Source organism: Homo sapiens, chromosome 12 (genome assembly GCF_000001405.40).
Source record: "Homo sapiens chromosome 12, GRCh38.p14 Primary Assembly".
In the NCBI taxonomy this organism is placed as follows: Eukaryota; Metazoa; Chordata; class Mammalia; order Primates; family Hominidae; genus Homo; species Homo sapiens.
The window spans coordinates 131,676,133-131,694,401 of NC_000012.12; the positions used below are offsets into that span (position 1 = coordinate 131,676,133).

Consider the following 18,269-nt stretch of genomic DNA (forward strand, 5'->3'; position numbering starts at 1 on the left):
TCATCCCCCACTGCCTCCCTTTCCGGCAGCAGATACGGGGTCTGCACGGCCCTGCAGAGGGGTTGAGTGAGTGTAGTCATGGATTTGGGAACCCTGAAGGGAGAATGTCATTGTCCTAAGGCTGGGAGACAGGCTGGGTGTGCAGGTGTGCATGCGGCATGTGTGTGTACAGGTGTTCATATAGCTGTGATGTGGGCGTGTGTGTGCAGGTGTGTGTGCAGGTGTGTGTGCAGGTGTGTGCAGGTGTGTGTGCAGGTGTGCACATGCATGTGTGTGGAGCTGAGTGGATGTTAGTGTGCGTGTGTATCTGTGTATCCATGTGGGTGTGTGGATGTTGTGTGCGTCTAGTATGCATGAATGTGCAGACGTGTTTTCATGTGCATATGTGTGTATGTGTGCATGGATGTGTTTTTGGTTGTGTGTATATGTGTGTACATGTGTTCTGTGCAGGTGTGTATTTGAGAATGTGCGTACACACAGGTATATGGGATGTATGGATATGAGTGTGCATGTGTGCATATGTGTGTACGTGTGTGTTATGAGTATTTGAGCATGCATGTGCACACGGGTACGTGGGATGTAGAGATGTGTGTATATGTGTACACATGTGCTATGTTTGGGTGTACTTAAGCATGCATGTGCACACATGTACATGGGGTGTGTGGATATGAGTGTATGTATATGTGTGTACATTGCTCTGTGCAGGTGCATTGAGCATGTGTGCATAAGTGTGCGCACATGTCTGGGATGTGTGAGTGTGAGTGCACGTGTGTCTATGTGTGTGCATGGCATGTGTGTGGTGTACATCCGTGTGGGTGTGTAGCTGTGTGCAGGTTTGTGCAGATGTGTGTTTCAGTGTGTGCGTGTGTGCACATGTGCATTTTGTTTAAAACTCAGGGGGAACCTGTGGTGAGAGGCGTCCCCACAGCAGGCCGCTCCCCACTGAGCTTATTCCAGAGGCCGTAGGCCTCTCGCTGGGGGAGGGGGGCTCAGGGCCTCGGTGGCAGAGGCCCAGGTCACATCAGGGTCACAGCACCAATGGGGCTGGGTGGATGTGGCTGCCAGTCCAGCTTGTGGGAGCTGGGTCACTGGGGAGCAGCCCCCAGCCTTGACTCTGACAGCAGACTGTGGCCGGGTGCACCCAGGGCTGCCGGGACTTCTGGTTCTCCAGGATGAGGTGGAAATCCAGGTTTTACCTGAAACATCCCAACTTTGAACTATTGGCAACAGACTCAGAATTTCACAGGATGCCATATGGACTACATGGAGCATCCCAGGCTGGATGGAGCCCCCGACCCACTGGCTATCTCAGGAGCCATCCATGCTCAGGGTTTTAAGCGCTTTTTCTCATTTTGTGCTCTCCTGGGAGGTGCAATTTAGAGGTGATGGAACCCATTGGAAGGGCTGACCTTGGGGGATTGGCCCAAGGTCACCCGGGCTCAGGGGCGGGGCCAGGATGGACTCTCCTGGACTTTGTGCTGTAGCCCCCCAGCACCTGTACTTCACTGCCTCCCTGTCTATTAATTCATAATGCTAATAATTATTAGCTTTGTCATCATCATCATTGGACGCCAGTCCAGCGCTGCTTCTGGCTGGAAGGTCTGAGGCTGTGTAGGGAGGAGGGAGAGGCCTCTGTCTTCCTCCCTTCCCCACCCGCCTCCCCTGGAGAGCAGGGAACGGAACAAAGCATCCCTGGGACCGGCTTGCACCTGCTCAGAAGGTGAGGATGAGCTTAAAGCTTTCCTTGAGGAGATTGAACCCGAGCTTGTCCTGCCGCGGTCACTGTGGGGACCCTGCTGTCCACACCTCTGGGGACCCGTCCACGCAGGCATCTTTCTCTCTGTTCCGGGGGGCTGACACCCTGGGCCTCTCCTCTGGGGTCTCTCACCACTTGGAGGAGAGATGGGCTCGCCGCAAGCTCCCATCGGCCGCTGCTGTTGCTGGGCTGCCTGTGCCTTCCCTTTGAAGCTACAATTCACATTCATGGTATCTGTGTACATTCCTGGTTCCAATGTCTTCTGCAGAAATTCCCCGCCCTATAGTCTCCCTGCCTTGCTATGCTCTATTAGTGATCACCCACCATGACGGTGACAGGTTGCATTAAAGTCATGAAGAGCAGAGCTCCCTGTGAGTGGGTCCAGGATGCTCCACTTGGCTGGTGGATGGAGCAGCCGCAGGGCAGGACTTCTAGGGACAGCTGTCTCTTTTCTCAGGTCCTGGCTCAGCCTGGCTGCTGGGTGCCCCGTTTCTGGACTAAACTTACCATGCGAGTCCCTAAAGGGCCTCTTCCAGGACTGTCCCAGATGAGAAGACCTCCTGGGCCCCTCCTCCCTCTCCCCAGGGCGACTGTGAGCTCCGTGGGGCCCAGGACGGCCCCACAGATTTCCCTGCAGAGAACTGGGCAGAGGCTGACCTCCGCAGGCACCCTGGGCCCCGACCATTTGACGCTGCTCGCTCTTCTCCAGACGCTCATCCGACCTGAAGTCACAGGTGCTGGTGCCATGGCGACAGGTGCATAGTAACCCACACATTCTCCAGGCCAGGGCAGATGGGTTTATTGCTCTTAGGCTGGGTTAGTGATGGCTGCACCCGGGACAGTCACAGTCGAAGCCGCCTGGAACACAGGGCCTGACCACCCAGGAGCAGCCACAGGAAGACAGAAGACACGTGGTCACACATGAGGACACAATGGCACCCGTGCCCCAAGCTCTGCACAGAGGACACTTGGTCACACGTGGGAACAGGATGGCACCCACACCCCGAGCTCTGTGCCCTGATCACTGTCACCTCCCAGGCACTGCCTCACTGAGGACAACGGACTGGCCCGTGTGGCTGGCGGCCGGCACGTAGGCTAGGTCAGATGAGAGCCACCCTGGGACCCAAACCCCCACAGGCCCCCAGACCCAATCCCCGATCACACAGAACAAGCCACTAAGCGTGTGTCCCAGATGAGCCAACCGTGCTCTCCGCACTCGGGATGTGGCTGCCCCGCAGGGGTGGGTCCCAGGGGCTGACTTGAGTTGACCAGATGGACTCTGGAGCAGGGCAGCAGCTCCGCTCTGGATGGAGTTCAGGGTTTGGTTGGAAGAAGCTGGAGCCAAGAGATGACACTGGGAAGGGGGCTCCTGGGAGGGGCCGATGAGAGGGAGAGAAGCGGGAGGACATGTATCGCTGGGGTCCAGGAGCAGGGTCCTCACGGGACGCGGGCAGCCAGGAGCAGGAGGTGGGGTGGCGGCTGAGGGGTGTCTGCTGTGGATGATGGGGGCCCAGGGAGGAAGGAGGGAAACGTGGAGGGAATCGGAGGACAGTGTTGAACCCTGAGCACGGGGTGGAGGCCAGGGAGGGGCAGGAGAGATGGGTCTCATGGGAGGAAAAAGGAAAGGGGAGGGGGAGGTGCGGGGTCTGGACTGTGGGACGTGGGCTGAGGGGCGGGAGCGTAGGGAGGGGACGCAGGGGTGCCTGACCTTCAGCTCCGTCCCTTGACCTGGCCGGGTGACGGGGCTCCAGAACCCAGAATCCACCTCCTGGGTGTGTCTCAGGGTAGCTTTGCAGCAGCAGGAGAGATTTAGGATCAGGTAAAAGGGTAGATTCACAGCGGGGCTTCAAAATAATCAATAAAAACATCCTCAGTGGCATTAACAACAGTACCCAACCCTACGTGGTTGTATTATATCAATATTACTCATGATCGACAGCCGTGATGCGTCCACGCCATCTTCACAGGACTGCCTCATTTGCCCTCACAAGGCGATCGTGTCAATACGACAGTTATCTGCATTTTACAGGTGGGTAAACTGAGGCCTGAGCCGCACGGTTGTGAGTGTGGAATCCAGGCGCCGGCCTGCCCGACCTGGAGTTGAGCTCTTGCCTCTGACTGTTCCCAGGTTGGGGAGTCCTGCCCGCCTCTCCCAGGAAGCTCCAGCGCCCCCTTCCCTGAATCCCAGCCTGCAGAGCTTCTCTTCCAGACGCAGGTGCCACCGTTCGCGATGCTGGGAGCAGAGCCGCCCTGGTCGATGTCGGGAAAACCTCTCCGTCTTGGTCTGTCTGCACGCTCTCAGTCACAAGCAGGAAAACAGCCTCAGCATTAATCCTGGGCAATAAATTGCGGTAGACGCACTGCAGGAAAAATCAGGGCCTGCCCCGTCTCAGCTCTGGGATTGGGGTCCTGAGTGATGGAGCAGACGGAAGCCCCCTCGGGAGTCCAGCGGCCCGGGTCGTTACTCTAGGACTAAAGTCCTCACGGATGAAAAGGCTTAATTTTTCACTCAGGTGTGAAACAGACCAGGGCTTTCAGCCCTTCTTCTGCTGCATGTGCATGACGGATGCCGGTCAAGTGTGCAGCAGACACACTCCTGGGGGCTGATGCGGACTCGACAAGCCCAGAAAGGTTCCACCGGGGAGTGAATAGAGACGGCAGCCCCTGAACACCAGGATGGACGGCTCTGCTGTGAAGGACTCACCACCCGGACACGAGGCTCCTCCCCAGCCCCTCCCCTGCCTCCCCTGGTGCTCTTGGCTCTCCCTGTGGGCTGCCCCTCCCCACATTCTGTCCCTTTGGGCCAGGTGGGGCCCTCGCCTTTTTGTACACGTAAATCACGTGATGGGGCCCACATAGTAAACAGACATCCTCCCTAGGACAGCACTCTGTGGGGTATGGGTCACATGACCTCATCAGGGCCCATCGGAGCAAGATCAGGACCACTGCAGAAGCTACTGGGGAAGGACTGTGCTCTTTCTTAAGCACAAGTGAGCTGGGAGGTGCTGCAGCATTGATGGGGTCACAGCCAGAGGGGATTCCGGGGCTCCCAGGGGACAGCATGTGGGGCCTGAGATGGAAGCAGCACAGGAGGGAAGAGCTGAGAGCCAGAGAGAGAGAGAGCAGGAGAGAGCACGGCGGAGAGAGAGAGAGAGCCAGAGAAAGAGAGAGGAGAGAGGAGAGAGCAGGGGAAAGAGAGAAGGAGAGAGGTGAGAGCAGGGGAGAAATAGGAAAAAAGAGAGCAGGAGAGAGCCGGGAAGAGAGAGAGAGAGAGAGAGACCAGGAGAGAGAAAGAGAGCAGGGGAGAGACAGAGAGAGAGAGATGGAGTGAGAGAGAGAGAGAACGTCCTGGAGATGTCTCTAGAGGCCAGAACACAGCCATACCTGAAACCAGCTAGAATAACCTAGATTTCTTCACTATGTGAGCCAACACATTCCCGGGCATCTGCTGATTGGCATCAGGGTTTCTGATGCTCCACAGAGAACTGCCCCCAGCTGTTTGCCCTCTCCTGACTGTGGACAGCTGAGCTGGGCATTTGTCCTGCCAGCTGTGACCCCAGACCCTCCTATCTGGTGACACAGCGCGTCTGAATGTAGCAAGGGTGAAGTCACCTACCGTCAATTACTCTAATGACCTTTTATGTATTAAAAAGTAAAACATTCCCAATCTGTGGCACTTGGGTATTTAGGAAAACATTACTTGTCACACCACAGAAAACCGTGGTGACACAAAGGTGTGCTTCAGCGCCATGGAGAAGAGCAGAGCGAACCTGGCTCTAGTGCTGGGCTCTGGCGCTGCCGTGAGCACGTGCTCACCACACGTCCTTGTCGTCTTCTCCGGGGAGAGCCCTGACTTATCCGAGGCAGCCACATGCCCTTCTATCCTGCTGGTTAGGACATAAATGTCCCTGCTGCACCCGGGGCTGCCTCTGTGGTGACGATGATGCCGAACCTCGGGTGGGGGAGGGAGGCTCAGAAGGGCCTGTGTCCCGAAGCCTGGACCTCCCGGCGCCCTGCCTGTGGGTTAGTTTCTGCATTAGTTGCTGATGTCCGTCTCTGGCACTTCCCACCAAGAGCCTGAACCCACACACCTGGGCTCAGTCCCCGAGACACGGGCCACGCGGCACCTGCTAGGGCTTCTGTGTTGAGATGGTTGCAGTGGACACCAGGAGAGTCGTGGGTGACAGTCGAGAAACTGCCCAAGAACAATCGCTCAATCCCGCTGGTTTAATCACACACTAAAAGCCTAGTCATTGAAAGAGGGTGACATCAGGTGGGGGTTCCCCTCCCCTCCCTGGGAAGGGAGCGCGGAGCTCACTTGTGGGTGCTGGATCCTCACGGCCTCCTCTGCTTCTAAAGGACGGGGGAGGCAGGAGAACAGGTGGGGCCCAGACTGGGGCGGGAGGAAGGTGGAGCAACCCCATGGCCTCCAGGGGACGGGGCGGGGAAGAGGTGGGGCCCAGACTGGGGCGGGAGGAAGGTGGAGCAACCCCATGGCCTCCAGGGGATGGGGCAGGGAAGAGGTGGGGCCCAGACTGGGGGATGAGGAAGGTGGAGCAACTCCATGGCCTCCAGGGGGGATGGGCAGGTGGCTCTGGGATCCCCCCTCCCCCAGGCAGCCACTGGACTAATGCAGGGGAGGGGAAGGGAAGGGAAGGGAGGGGAGGGGAGGGGAGGGGAGGCCAGGCTCTGCCCCAGGAGGCGACGGGGGGTCAGGACCAGATGTGGAGGGAGCCCCAGGAGGGAAGCGCTCAGCCCCAGCGAGGCTGGGAGTGTCCTTGTCGTCTGTAACCGAGTTCCTTGTCATCCAGCATCCAGCACGTCTGGGCTAGGGCACCCTTGACTGCACGTGACAGAACCACATGGGGTGTTGTGTTGTGGTGCTGCTGTCATGGCGTTGTGGTGTGCTGTGTGGTTGATGCTGTGTTGTTATGTTGTGGTGTGGTGTGTGGTGGCGTTTTGAGTTATATTGTTGGTGTGGTGAAGTGGTGTGTGGTGTATATTGTTGATGTTGATGTGTTACATTGTGGTGTGCTGTGTGGTTGATGCTGTGTTGTGATGTCATGGTGTGGTGTGTGGGGGTGTTTTGAGTTATGTTGTTGGTGTGGTGATGTGGTGTGTGGTGTATATTGTTGATGTTGTGTTACATTGTGGTGTGCTGTGTGGTTGATGCTGTGTTGTGATGTCATGGTGTGGTGTGTGGGGGTGTTTTGAGTTATGTTGTTGGTGTGGTGATGTGGTGTGTGGTGTATATTGTTGATGTTGATGTTGTGTTACGTTGTAGTGTGCTGTGGTGTGTGGTGCTGTTTTGGGGTTTTCATGGTGTGGTGTGTGGTGTGTATGGTTGTATATGTTCTTGCTGTTGTATTGTGGTGTTGTGTTATCTTGTTGAGGCAGTGCTGTTGATGGTGTGGTGTGCGGTGTTGTTTTGTGTTATGTTGTGGTGTGGTGCTGGTGTTGTGTGGTTGTAACTGAGGATGTCTGAGCTCGTCTGGAAGGAGACAGTGGAGCTGCCCAGGCCCAGGGCTGAGGATGGGCTGTGGCCAGGGTAGGTCCTCAGCTGAGCGAGGTGAGGAGCCCCTGAGTCTGGTATGTAACACAACTGTTGTGTTGTGTTGTTATGTTGTTGGTGTGCTGTGTCTCTGTCCACACTGGGCAGATGGTCCTGGGGACACTCCTGGAACTTCCTGGCTCCCGACATTCCCAGCCTCTGCTCTTGGGAACGGTCCAGGCTGGACCTGGTGTGGGACAGAAGCCAAGTCTGTGCCAGTCTTCAGCGGGACCACCCTTAGGGTGAGCACGTTCCCCTGGAGAGCCCTGTCTTTGTCTGTGGATTTCTGGGTGGGGCCGTGCCTGGCGCTAGGAGGTGAGCTGGGCCCAGGCCTGGGGGCAGCTCTGCGTCCCCACCACCTTCGTCCCACCCATGGGCTCCAGAGCTTCTCTCCTGCACCGATGGGTCAGCGGCCGCCACCTCGATTTCTACATCTCCTCTCCAGAGCCCAGTCCTTCAGCCTGCAGACGAGAAAAATCAATGCCCAAGTCTTGAAAGGGTTGAAGAGAAAGCCTATTGCGTGTCAGAACATGTTAAGTCTCCCTCCAAATGGAGCTGCAACAGGGCACAGTCCTGCCCGGGAAGGGCTCCTCCCACCCGCGGGGATGCTGTCTGACTCCAGCACTCATGTGGGGGGACCCACGCCCAGGGCTGGGACACACTGGGACCTGGGCTGACCCTCAGCACCTGAGGATATCTGAGCTCCTCTGGAAGGAGACGGCCGAGCTGCCCAGGCCCCAGCTCTGCCGAGGGCTGAGGATGGGCTGCAGCCGGGACAGGTGCTCAGCTGAGCAAGGCGGGGAGCCCCTGAGTCTGGAAACAGCCACTCAGCATCATTAAGGGTGTTGTGTCATCCTCAACGTAGATAATGACGATGGCACTGGCAGCTGCTTCCCTCCTTTCAGGCACTCTGGAAGCACCATTTCTAATCCCCTCCGCAGAGCCCACAGGCTGGGACTCTGAGACCGGTTCCTTCTTTATCAAACCTCTCCCATCCGCAGCGGGAGGCTGGGACGGCAGGTAGCGTCCTCCTTGTGGGGCTCACATCGAGGATGGTGACTACGAAACTGAGGTCACTGTGTGGCCAGCAGGAATCTTAGCAGACCCAGACACCTGAGTGTGAGCCTGGCTCTCCATCTCCCTCCCGACTACCCTGGGGATGCCACCCAGCCTTCTGTGCCTGTTTCCTGCTCTGCACAATGGGAATCACGGCGTGTCCGTCTCCTGCTCTGCACAATGGGAATCACGGCGTGTCCGTCTCCTGCTCTGTAGAATGGGAATCATGCGTGTCTGATTCCTGCTCTGTAGATTGAGAATCACGGCGTCTCTGTTTCCTGCTCTGTAGAAAATGGGAATCACGTGTGTCCGTTTCCTGCTCTATAGAATGGGAATCATGGCGTGTCTGTTTACTGCTCTGTACAATGGGAAGGAATCACGCGTGTCCGTTTCCTGCTCTATAGAATGGGAATCATGGCGTGTCTGTTTACTGCTCTGTACAATGGGAATCACGCGTGTCCGTTTCCTGCTCTGTAGAATGGGAATCATGGCGTGCCCGTTTCCTGCTCCGTAGAATGGGAATCACGTGTGTCTGTTTCCTGCTCTGTAGAATGGGAATCACAGTGTGTCTGTTTCCTGCTCTGTAGAATGGTAATCACACGTGCCCGTTCCCTGCTCTATAGAATGGGAATCACATGTGTCCGATTCCTGCTCTATAGAATGGGAATCACGGTGTGCCCCTTTCCTGCTCTGTAGAATGGGAATCACGTGTGCCCGTTTCCTGCTCTGTAGAATGGGAATCACATCTGTCCGTTTCCTGCTCTGTAGAATGAGAATCATGTGTGTCCGTTTCCTGCTCTGTAGAATGGGAATCATGTGTGTCCGTTTCCTGCTCTGTAGAATGGGAATCACGTGTGTCCGTTTCCTGCTCTGTAGAATGGGAATCATGCGTGTCTGTTTCCTGCTTTGTAGAATGGGAATCACGTGTGCCCGTTTCCTGCTCTGTAGAATGGGAATCACGTCTGTCCGTTTCCTGCTCTGTAGAATGGGAATCATGCGTGTCTGTTTCCTGCTCTGTAGAATCAGAATCACGGCGTGTCTGTTTGCTGCTCTTCAGAATGGGAATCACCCATGTCCGTTTCCTGCTCTGTAGAATGTTAATCACATGTGTCCGTTTCCTGCTCTGTAGAATGAGAATCATGTGTGTCCGTTTCCTGCTCTGTAGAATGGGAATCATGTGTGTCCGTTTCCTGCTCTGTAGAATGGGAATCACAGCGTGTCCGTCTCCCGCTCTGTAGAGTGGGAATCATGGTGTATCCGTCTCCTGCTCTGTAGAATGTGAATCACACGTGTCCGTTTCCTGCTCTGTAGAATGAAAATCATGTGTGTCCGTTTCCTGCTCTGTAGAATGTGAATCACGCGTGTCCATTTCCTGCTCTGTAGAATGTGAATCACGCGTGTCCGTTTCCTGCTCTGTAGAATGGGAATCACGTGTGTCCGTTTCCTGCTCTGTAGAATGGGAATCACGTGTGTCCGTTTCCTGCTCTGTAGAATGGGAATCACGCGTGTCCGTTTCCTGCTCTGTAGAATGAAAATCATGCGTGTCTGTTTCCTGCTCTGTAGAATGGGAATCACGTGTGTCCGTTTCCTGCTCTGTAGAATGGGAATCACATGTGTCCGTTTCCTGCTCTGTAGAATGTGAATCACGTGTGTCCGTTTCCTGCTCTGTAGAATGAAAATCATGCGTGTCTGTTTCCTGCTCTGTAGAATGGGAATCACGTGTGTCTGTTTCCTGCTCTGTAGAATGGGAATCACGTGTGTCCGTTTCCTGCTCTGTAGAATGGGAATCACGTGTGTCCGTTTCCTGCTCAGTAGAATGTGAATCACATGTGTCCGTTTTCTGCTCTGCGGATTGGGAATCACGGCGTGTCTGTTTCCTGCTCTGTAGAATGGGAATCACGCATGTCCGTTTCCTGCTCTGCAGAATGGGAATCACGCGTGTCCGTTTCCTGCTCTGCAGAATGGGAATCACGTGTGTCCGTTTCCTGCTCTGTAGAATGGGGATCACGCGTGTCCATTTCCTGCTCTGCAGAATGGGAATCACGCGTGTCCGTTTCCTGCTCTGTAGAATGGTAATTCACGCACATCTGTTTCCTGCGCTGCAGAATGGGAATCACCCGTGTCTGTTTCCTGCTCTGTAGAATGGTAATCACGCGCGTCCGTTTCCTGCTCTGCAGAATGGAAATCACACGTGTCTGTTTCCTGCTCTGTAGAATGGGAATCATGGCATGTCTTTCTCCTGCTCTGTAGAATGGGAATCACAGAATGCCCGTTTCCTGCTCTGTAGAATGGGAATCATGGCGTGTCCGTCACCTGCTCTGTAGAATGGGAATCATGGCGTGTCCGTTTCCTGCTCTGTAGAATGCGAATCACGTGTGTCCGTTTCCTGCTCTGCAGAATGGGAATCACGCGTGTCCGTTTCCTGTTCTGCAGAATGGGAATCACGCGTGTCCGTTTCCTGCTCTGTAGAATGGGAATCACGTGTGTCCATTTCCTGCTCTGTAGAATGGGAATCACGTGTGTCCATTTCCTGCTCTGTAGAATGGGAATCACATGTGTCCGTTTACTGCTCTGTAGAATGAGAATCACGCCCGTCTGTTTCCTGCTCTGTAGAATGGGAATCACGCGTGCGTGTTTCCTGCTCTATAGAATGGGAATCACCACGTCATGACTTGGGTGTGTCTTTCACTCGAGTCTGGCACATATGCATCTGATGGTCAGCGGATCCCTGCACGCCCAAAGGCCCTGCAGTCGGGCTGCAAGGATCTTGAAATCCTTAATAACCTTATGTTTGAATTTGAACTTTGTGAGCGAAGTCCAGTGGAGCATGCCCTGGGGGCTCAGAGCCTCAGCTCTCTCGACTGCCCCTCCTCACCTCCCCATCTCCCAGGCTGCCCATCTCCTACCCTTGGACACTAGAGCCCTGGGGCTCCAGCCCTGCCCAGCCTCCCCTCCTGCGCTGTGACTGCTGCCACCCTCCCCCTATGCAGTGCCCAGGCCATGCCCACCCTCCATCCCTGGCAGGGGTCTGGGTCAGACACCAGGAGGGTTGGAGTTGTCATGTGCCATGTGGCAGCAGAGGGTCCATCTGCGCCCCACACTGGTAGGCTGGTGCTGGTCCCTGCATCTCTCCTGAGGACACCTGCCATGTATTCCCGCCTATTAAGTGCCCCCCACTGGGCTAGGTCTCCTGTTGCCTTGTCCCATTTCATACTCACCCTCCAGGGGCACAGATGCATCTGCATGACACCAGGGACACCTGGGGCTCAATCCCAGGTTTCCCAGACTCTAAAGCCCATGCATCAACCTGCACCAGACGCTGCCTCTGAGTCCAGGAGGGTCGAGGGACGAGGACTCCAGACCTCGAGGCTCTAGCAATCCGGGGGACCCCACGGAGCTGTGTCAGTTGCCCCAGACCCCTCTCATGGTCCTGTTGCCCCAGGCCTCAGGAGGGAACAGGCACCACAGAAACACTGCTGACACCGGGGGTGTGTCCCCTGACTGCCCCTGGAGAGGGACCGGCTGGGATTAACACCTGGACTGCGCAGGGAAACATCTCCTCGCAGGAAATCTCCATGCTACGGTTTGAATGTTTGTCCCCTCTGAAACTCATGTGAAAATGTACTTGCCATCCTCTTGGTGTTAAGAGGTGGAGCCTTTAAGAGGTGATTAGGTCCTGGGGCTGCACCCTCACAAAGGAATTGATGTCGTTCTTGTGGGAGTGGGTTACTTATGATGGAGTAGGTTAGTTATGGTGGGAGTGGGTTAGTTATGGTGGGAGCGGGTTAGTTATGATGGTAGTGGGTTAGTTATGGTAGGAGTGGGTTAATTATGATGAGAGTGGGTTAGCTATTATGGGAGTGGGTTAGTTATGGTGAGAGTGAGTTTGTTATGGTGGGAGTGGGTTAGTTATGGTGAGAGTGAGTTAGTTATGATGGGAGTGGGTGAGTTATGCTAGGAGTGGGTTAGTTACGGTGGGAGTGGGTTAGTTATGATGGCAGTGAGTTAGTTATGATGGCAGTGAATTAGTTATAGTGACAGTGGATTAGTTATGGTGGGAGTGGGTTAGTTATGATGGAAGTGGGTTAGTTATGAGAGTGGGTTAGTTATGGTGAGAGTGGGTTAGTTATGATGGGAGTGGGTTAGTTATGATGGAGTGGGTTAGTTATGATGGAGTGGGTTAGTTATGATGGAGTGGGTTAGTTATGGTGGGAGTGGGTTAGTTATGATGGCAGTGAGTTAGTTATAGTGGGAGTGGGTTAGTTATGGTGAGAGTGGATTAGTTATGGTGAGAGTGGGTTATGGTGGGAGTGGGTTAGTTATGATGGAGTGGTTAGTTATGATGGAGTGGGTTAGTTATGGTGGGAGTGGGTTAGTTATGGTGAGAGTGGATTAGTTATGGTGAAAGTGGGTTATAGTGGGAGTGGGTTAGTTATGATGGAGTGGGTTAGTTATGATGGGAGTGGGCTAGTTATGATGGAGTGAGTTAGTATGGTGGGAGTCGGTTATGATGGGAGTGGGCGAATTATGGTGAGAGTGGGTTAGTTATGATGGGAGTGGGTTAGTTATGGTGAGAGTGGGTTTGTTATGGTAGGAATCGGTTAGTTATGGTGATAGTGGGTAAGTTATGGTGATAGTGGATAAGTTATGGTGAGAGTAAGTTAGTTATGATGGGAGTGGGTTAGTTATTGTGGGAGTGGGTTAGTTATGGTGGGATTGGGTGAGTTATGGTGGGAGTGGGTTAGTTATGGTAGGAGTGGGTTAGTTATGATGGGAGTGGATTAGGTATAATGGGAGTGGGTTAGTTATAGTAAGAGTGGGTTAGTTATAGTGGGATTGGGTGAGTTATGGTGGGAGAGGGTTAGTTATGGTGGGATTGGGTGAGTTATGATGGAAGTGGGTGAGTTATGATGGGAGTGGGTGAGTTATGGTAGGAATGGGTGAGTCATGGTGACAGTGGGTTAGTTATGGTGGGAGTGGGTTGTTATGAATTGAGCCCAGCCCCTCGTGCTGTCTCTTCTCTCTGCAATCACTCACCCTCTCGTTTTCCACCCTTCCACCACAGGATGACCACACCAGAGGCCAGTGTCATGCACGTGGAGTTCCCAGCCTCCAGAAACATAAGCAGAAGAAATGTCTCGTCTTTACAAATTACCGTCTGTGATATTCTGTTATAGCAGCAGAGAACAGCCTAAGACACTCCATTTCTACTAACGGGCATTTGATGCAACGGTCATCCTGAAAATTCATGGAGAAAGTCTGCTCCAAAACCAATTTTCTGCTCCATAACATCTGCCTTTGGAGAATCTCATATAAATAAGGAATGAGGTGCAGATGTAGAAAGACAGTGGGTTCTGACAGCATCATTCTAAATGGAGAGGGGTGATAAACGCCCAGTAGAATTCAAATAAAATATGAACTTCAGAGAAAGGAAAAAAGTGATGTGACTCTGCACCCTCAGCTGAACATGGTAGAAATTATCCTGTAGAGAAACAGAACAGGGATAAAAAAAGTCACCTTCCTTAATTTGCATGTATATTATAATTCATTTCCAGACATGAAAGTAAGACTGAGATTTCAGCTGCTGAATTATACATCTTGATTCTTGCATACAGAGGACTCAAAACATTTCCCCCAAAGGCCTAAATAATGATGTTCAGCCTTATTTTTCCTTCTACACACCTCACACACAAACAAGGATGGGCCATCCTTTCTGGAACTCTATCCCCAGGACATGTGGTGAATGTCACAGATAAAGAACCAGGCTGAATAGCCAAAGGCGTCCAAAAGCGCAGGCTTGTGACTTGATTGTGCAGCCGTTGGGAAGGACAGAGCCAGGATGGCCGACAGCACCGTTCCCTCTGGGCAGCACCACCAGCAGGGACCACTGTCACCATCTTCACTGGAGACAGAGATCGAGGCTCTGCATGGCGACTCCAAGGAGCACAGAATGGAAAAAGGAGAAGTCACTTTACAGTGGAGAAACCTGGCAACCAGGCTCAGCCAGGAATCAAGGTCAACGTCAGCCATGATGTCCGATGCATAACAGGGGCCCTCAATATGCCGTGAGAGACAGCCACCTTACCTCTGTACACCCCAGGCTAATCAGGAGCAAAGCACTGGACAAATCCCAACAAAGCGACCATGCACGGAACACCTGGCCAGTCCTCCTCACAACTGTCAAGGTCAATAAAGCAAGGAAAGCCTGGGAAACGGTCACAGCCAAGAGCAACCCAAGGAGACACGATGACTGAATGTCACCTGGGATCCCGGGTGGGAGCCTGGGAGAGTAAAAGGCCGTTGGAGCAACGAATAAAGTGTGACTGAAGCGTGGACATGGGTTAAGAGTGATGCATCCGTGCGAACTCATTAACTGTGACGAATGTACCGTGGTAATGAAAGAGGTTAGTGACAGGGAAACGGGACAGGAGCTGGGAGGACTCTGTACAGTCTTCACACCTTCTCAGAAAACCTAAAGCCATGCTAAACTGGAAAAGTTTATTTTAAAACATAGGAAACGGTGGGTGTTGAGGTTGCAGAATCAGAGATGAAGAGCTGTAACCCTAAAACTTTATTTCCCAGCTGAAATTGGATGTTTTACAAAAGAGGACGCTGGGGCTGGTACGGCTGGCCTTTTCCCACCCTGGCCAAAGTGCTTTCACCCCAGGACAACGTCTGTGTGCACTGAGCTCTAGGGTCTTTTTGGTGTTTTAGTTTTTTGCTTTTATGTCCCCAAAATAAGACATGTCTGTGGTTTAAAAGTGTAGAGTATAAAATACACAGTGGGGAGGAAAAGAAGTTTCTTCTTTGTTATTTTGGCCACAATGTCTCTGTGTTAGCCCTCAAAGGCAGCCGTGGTCACCTGCTCTAAAAGGTCTTTCCAAAGATAGTCTCTGCTGGGCAGGGTGGCGTGTGCCTGTAATCCCTGCGTCTTGGAAGGCCAAGGTAGGAGGATCGCTTGAGCCCAGGAGGTCAAGGCTGCAGTGAGTCATGATCGTACCACTGCACTCCAGCCTGGGAGACAGAGCTAGACTCTGTCTCAAAAAATAAAAATAAAAAACTCAAAGATAGTCCATACAGGAACAAGTGCACACACATGCAAACATACAGACATGCATATGCACATATATGCACACACACACACATGCACACATACAGAAAAATGGTAGCACACTTTTTTATATAGCATGATTCTTCCAAGTTGGGACCTTACAGAACCCTCATTATTTTTAATGGCTTCAGCCTGTGCTACTGTATAGGGGCCTCATAATTTATTTAAGCTATTCGCTATCAACAGACATTTATCTTAGTCTTTTGTTACAAATCACACTGTAATGAATATCTTTGTTCAGACATCCTTGCCCACATTACAGCATTATTTTTAATGTCTGTTTGATATGCGATGAGAATGATGTACAATAACTCATATAATGCATCCTCTATTTTAAACGTCTAGATTGTCTCCAATGTTTTCCACCATTACAAACAATGCTGTTACAATATAAATCTTCACACACACCTCTGATTGCTTTTCTTGGATGAATTTCTGGAAGGAAGTGCTGGGTGAAAACATTTTCACTTTAACTTTAAGGTTGCTTCCAGCCCTTTTATAAGGGCTGAGTCTGGGCTGTTCGCATGGTGGGGTAGGGGGGCGCCCAAGAATGGGCAGGAGAAGAGTCCTGCGAAAAGAGGGGAAAAGAGGGGAACGCCAAGCCTCCTCTCCGGGGTTGGAGAGGGGAGGGGAGGGCAGGTGCCTGGGACCCTCCTGGTTGTCCTCTCACAGCCTAGCTAGGCCCCGTTTGGGGTCATTTCCCTCACTTTTCAGGGTGATGCTGGACTCCAGGATTCCTAGAGCTTTGGCTGTTGTCAAGGAAGAAATGTCCGCAGAGGCTTCTCTAAAGAGAGTCCCCATACGCCTGGGAGGTGCAGTGACGCATCTGACCCCGCTGAGGAGGGAGAACCAACTTGTGTCACTAAAGGCCTGAGGTGAGTTGGACCCAAGACTCGCAGCTCAGGCCCTTGTGAGTCTCCTCCAGCTCAGGTGCATGGGAAGCAGCACCGCCTTCACGATTCCACCAACGGCTTTCATCTCCACCTGCCCCCGTGAAACACACCGGATATCAGCTCCCCCAGGCACAGCAGCTGAATCCCAGGGTCTATGACGTGCTGCGGAGGCGGGGAGGGGGACAGGAGGCCACCAGATCCCTGACGTCACCTGCCCATCCAGGACAGGAAAGGACATCATCGTGCAAGGAGCCTCCGTGGGGTGTGCTGGAGTTGGCCCGTGAGCTTGCAGAGCCGGTCATTAGAGCTCCGGGAATGCACGAGCCGGGCGTTCAATGCTGCCATTATCAGAATTGCATCAGATAAACTTACCATGAAGTAAATTCTATTAAAGCAACAGGAATAGTTGCAAGCCCTCAGCTCCCGGTTATTTTACTACTGTTGCAGTTAGCTGTTGAGTCTGTGGTAGCAACGCCATGTGGTAGAGACCACCAGCATCTCCCCCAGCTCCACGCTCAGTGGCGTCAGATTGCAGTGGGAGGTCAGCCCCGGGCAGTGTTTACACCACAGAAATTGGCAAATGCCACACATGCAGGCTGCTTTCTTTAGTTTACCTGAAGAGCTGGCTGTTACACGCCTGCCCATGTCCACCGAGCCTCCATCGTCCATTGGGGTGGGGGCTCTGCGAGGTCACCTCTGCCCCTCTCCCCGGGGTTCTTTCCCTCCGGAGGATCACTTGGCCTCCCTCTGCCACTCTTGGGGCACAGAATGACTCTCACTTGAGCCTGGGGGGCTCAGCCAGGCCCTCTCTGCCTGCACACTCAGCCTCCAGCTCGTTCTGGGTCTCCCTCCCTCCCTGGCCCTCCCCAGGGGTGAGTCCAGGTCCTCGCTGCTCTGACGCCCCTTGAGCCTCATGGAATATCCCCTCCCTCCTGCCTCCTGCCGGGCTCACACCAGGCAGCCAATGCAGCCCCCCCTCATGTGTCTTCCAGGGGCCTCTCACTCTGCAATACCATGCCCCCCCACGCACACCTCCACACTTGGAGAATCTCCTGGGTCCCAGCTGCCTGCGCTGTTGGTAGAAGTGTGGCTGCTGGGGGGTGGCACTCAGAGGAGCAGGAAGCAAACTGGAGGCCACCAGTCCTCTGTCGTTCTGCAGCGGGCAGGTGTGTGCAAGTCAACCCCAGAGTCCGAGGAAGCTGAGAGGCTGAAGAAAGAGGCCGACATGTTCAGTTCCTTAAAAAGAAACATCTAATAGTGACTTACAAACAGAAGCCAGCTCTGTGTCTCAGACGACAGCGAGATGAGATGGTAGATCCCTGCCCCATCACTCCCAGACCCAGGGCTCATGGACCATAGGGAGGGGTGACTCAGAAGGGACAACTGAGGGATGGTAACCTTAAGACTGTTTGATCCAGTGGCAGGATTTAGAGTAAGTGCCTGCTGTCACACAAGAAACAATCAATAAACTGGGAATGTTAGAGGCCTTCTCGGAACAGGGGTTAATCAGAAGCCAACATGGCGGACTCATGTCCAACATGGAGTTGCTTTGGCCTCCACAGTCCTCCAGTCTCACTGCCTCCCCCTATGACCCCCAAGGTAGGGTCCAAGAGGGGTTTGCAGAGACCATGTCCCAGGGTCACAGGCCACAGAAGACAGTCCCCAGCTGAGACACCACAGCCCAAAAACACACACGCCTACCTTATGGTCCTGCATCCCCGGGAGAGACCAGGGGCCCACTGACCTGCCCGCCCTGCAGCAGACACACCCCTTTGAGGCTTCTGATCCCAGGACTGGGAAGTGAGGAGAGGGCACCCGCTGAAACCCTTTGACAATGACAGTAGGTGAGGCAGAACAGGACAGAGCAGGACAGAAAGGATCCTGTAAAAAGGCCGTGCACAC

At 53.6% G+C, this 18,269-nt stretch overlaps 1 long non-coding RNA gene across 2 annotated transcripts, besides 1 other annotated feature; it reads left to right on the forward strand.

The window, feature by feature from the left end:
- The first annotated feature begins 1,575 nt into the window (after positions 1-1,575).
- LOC105370087 (uncharacterized) lies at positions 1,576-16,565 on the forward strand. 2 transcript variants are annotated; one of them, XR_001749183.1, is made up of 3 exons: positions 1,576-1,720; positions 13,429-14,767; positions 16,189-16,565. It is a non-coding gene; the product is annotated as an uncharacterized LOC105370087 (long non-coding RNA). The 2 variants fall into 2 exon arrangements; XR_945572.1 differs by lacking the exons at positions 13,429-14,767; positions 16,189-16,565 and adding exons at positions 3,696-3,785; positions 3,885-4,921.
- Positions 6,149-6,298: a silencer, noted in NCBI's record as "silent region_5098". NCBI's record gives its function as "represses an Ori minimal core promoter by ATAC-STARR-seq in GM12878 lymphoblastoid cells {active_cell/tissue: GM12878}" and the evidence as "EXISTENCE:reporter gene assay evidence [ECO:0000049][PMID:35858748]".
- Positions 16,566-18,269: the final 1,704 nt, after the last annotated feature.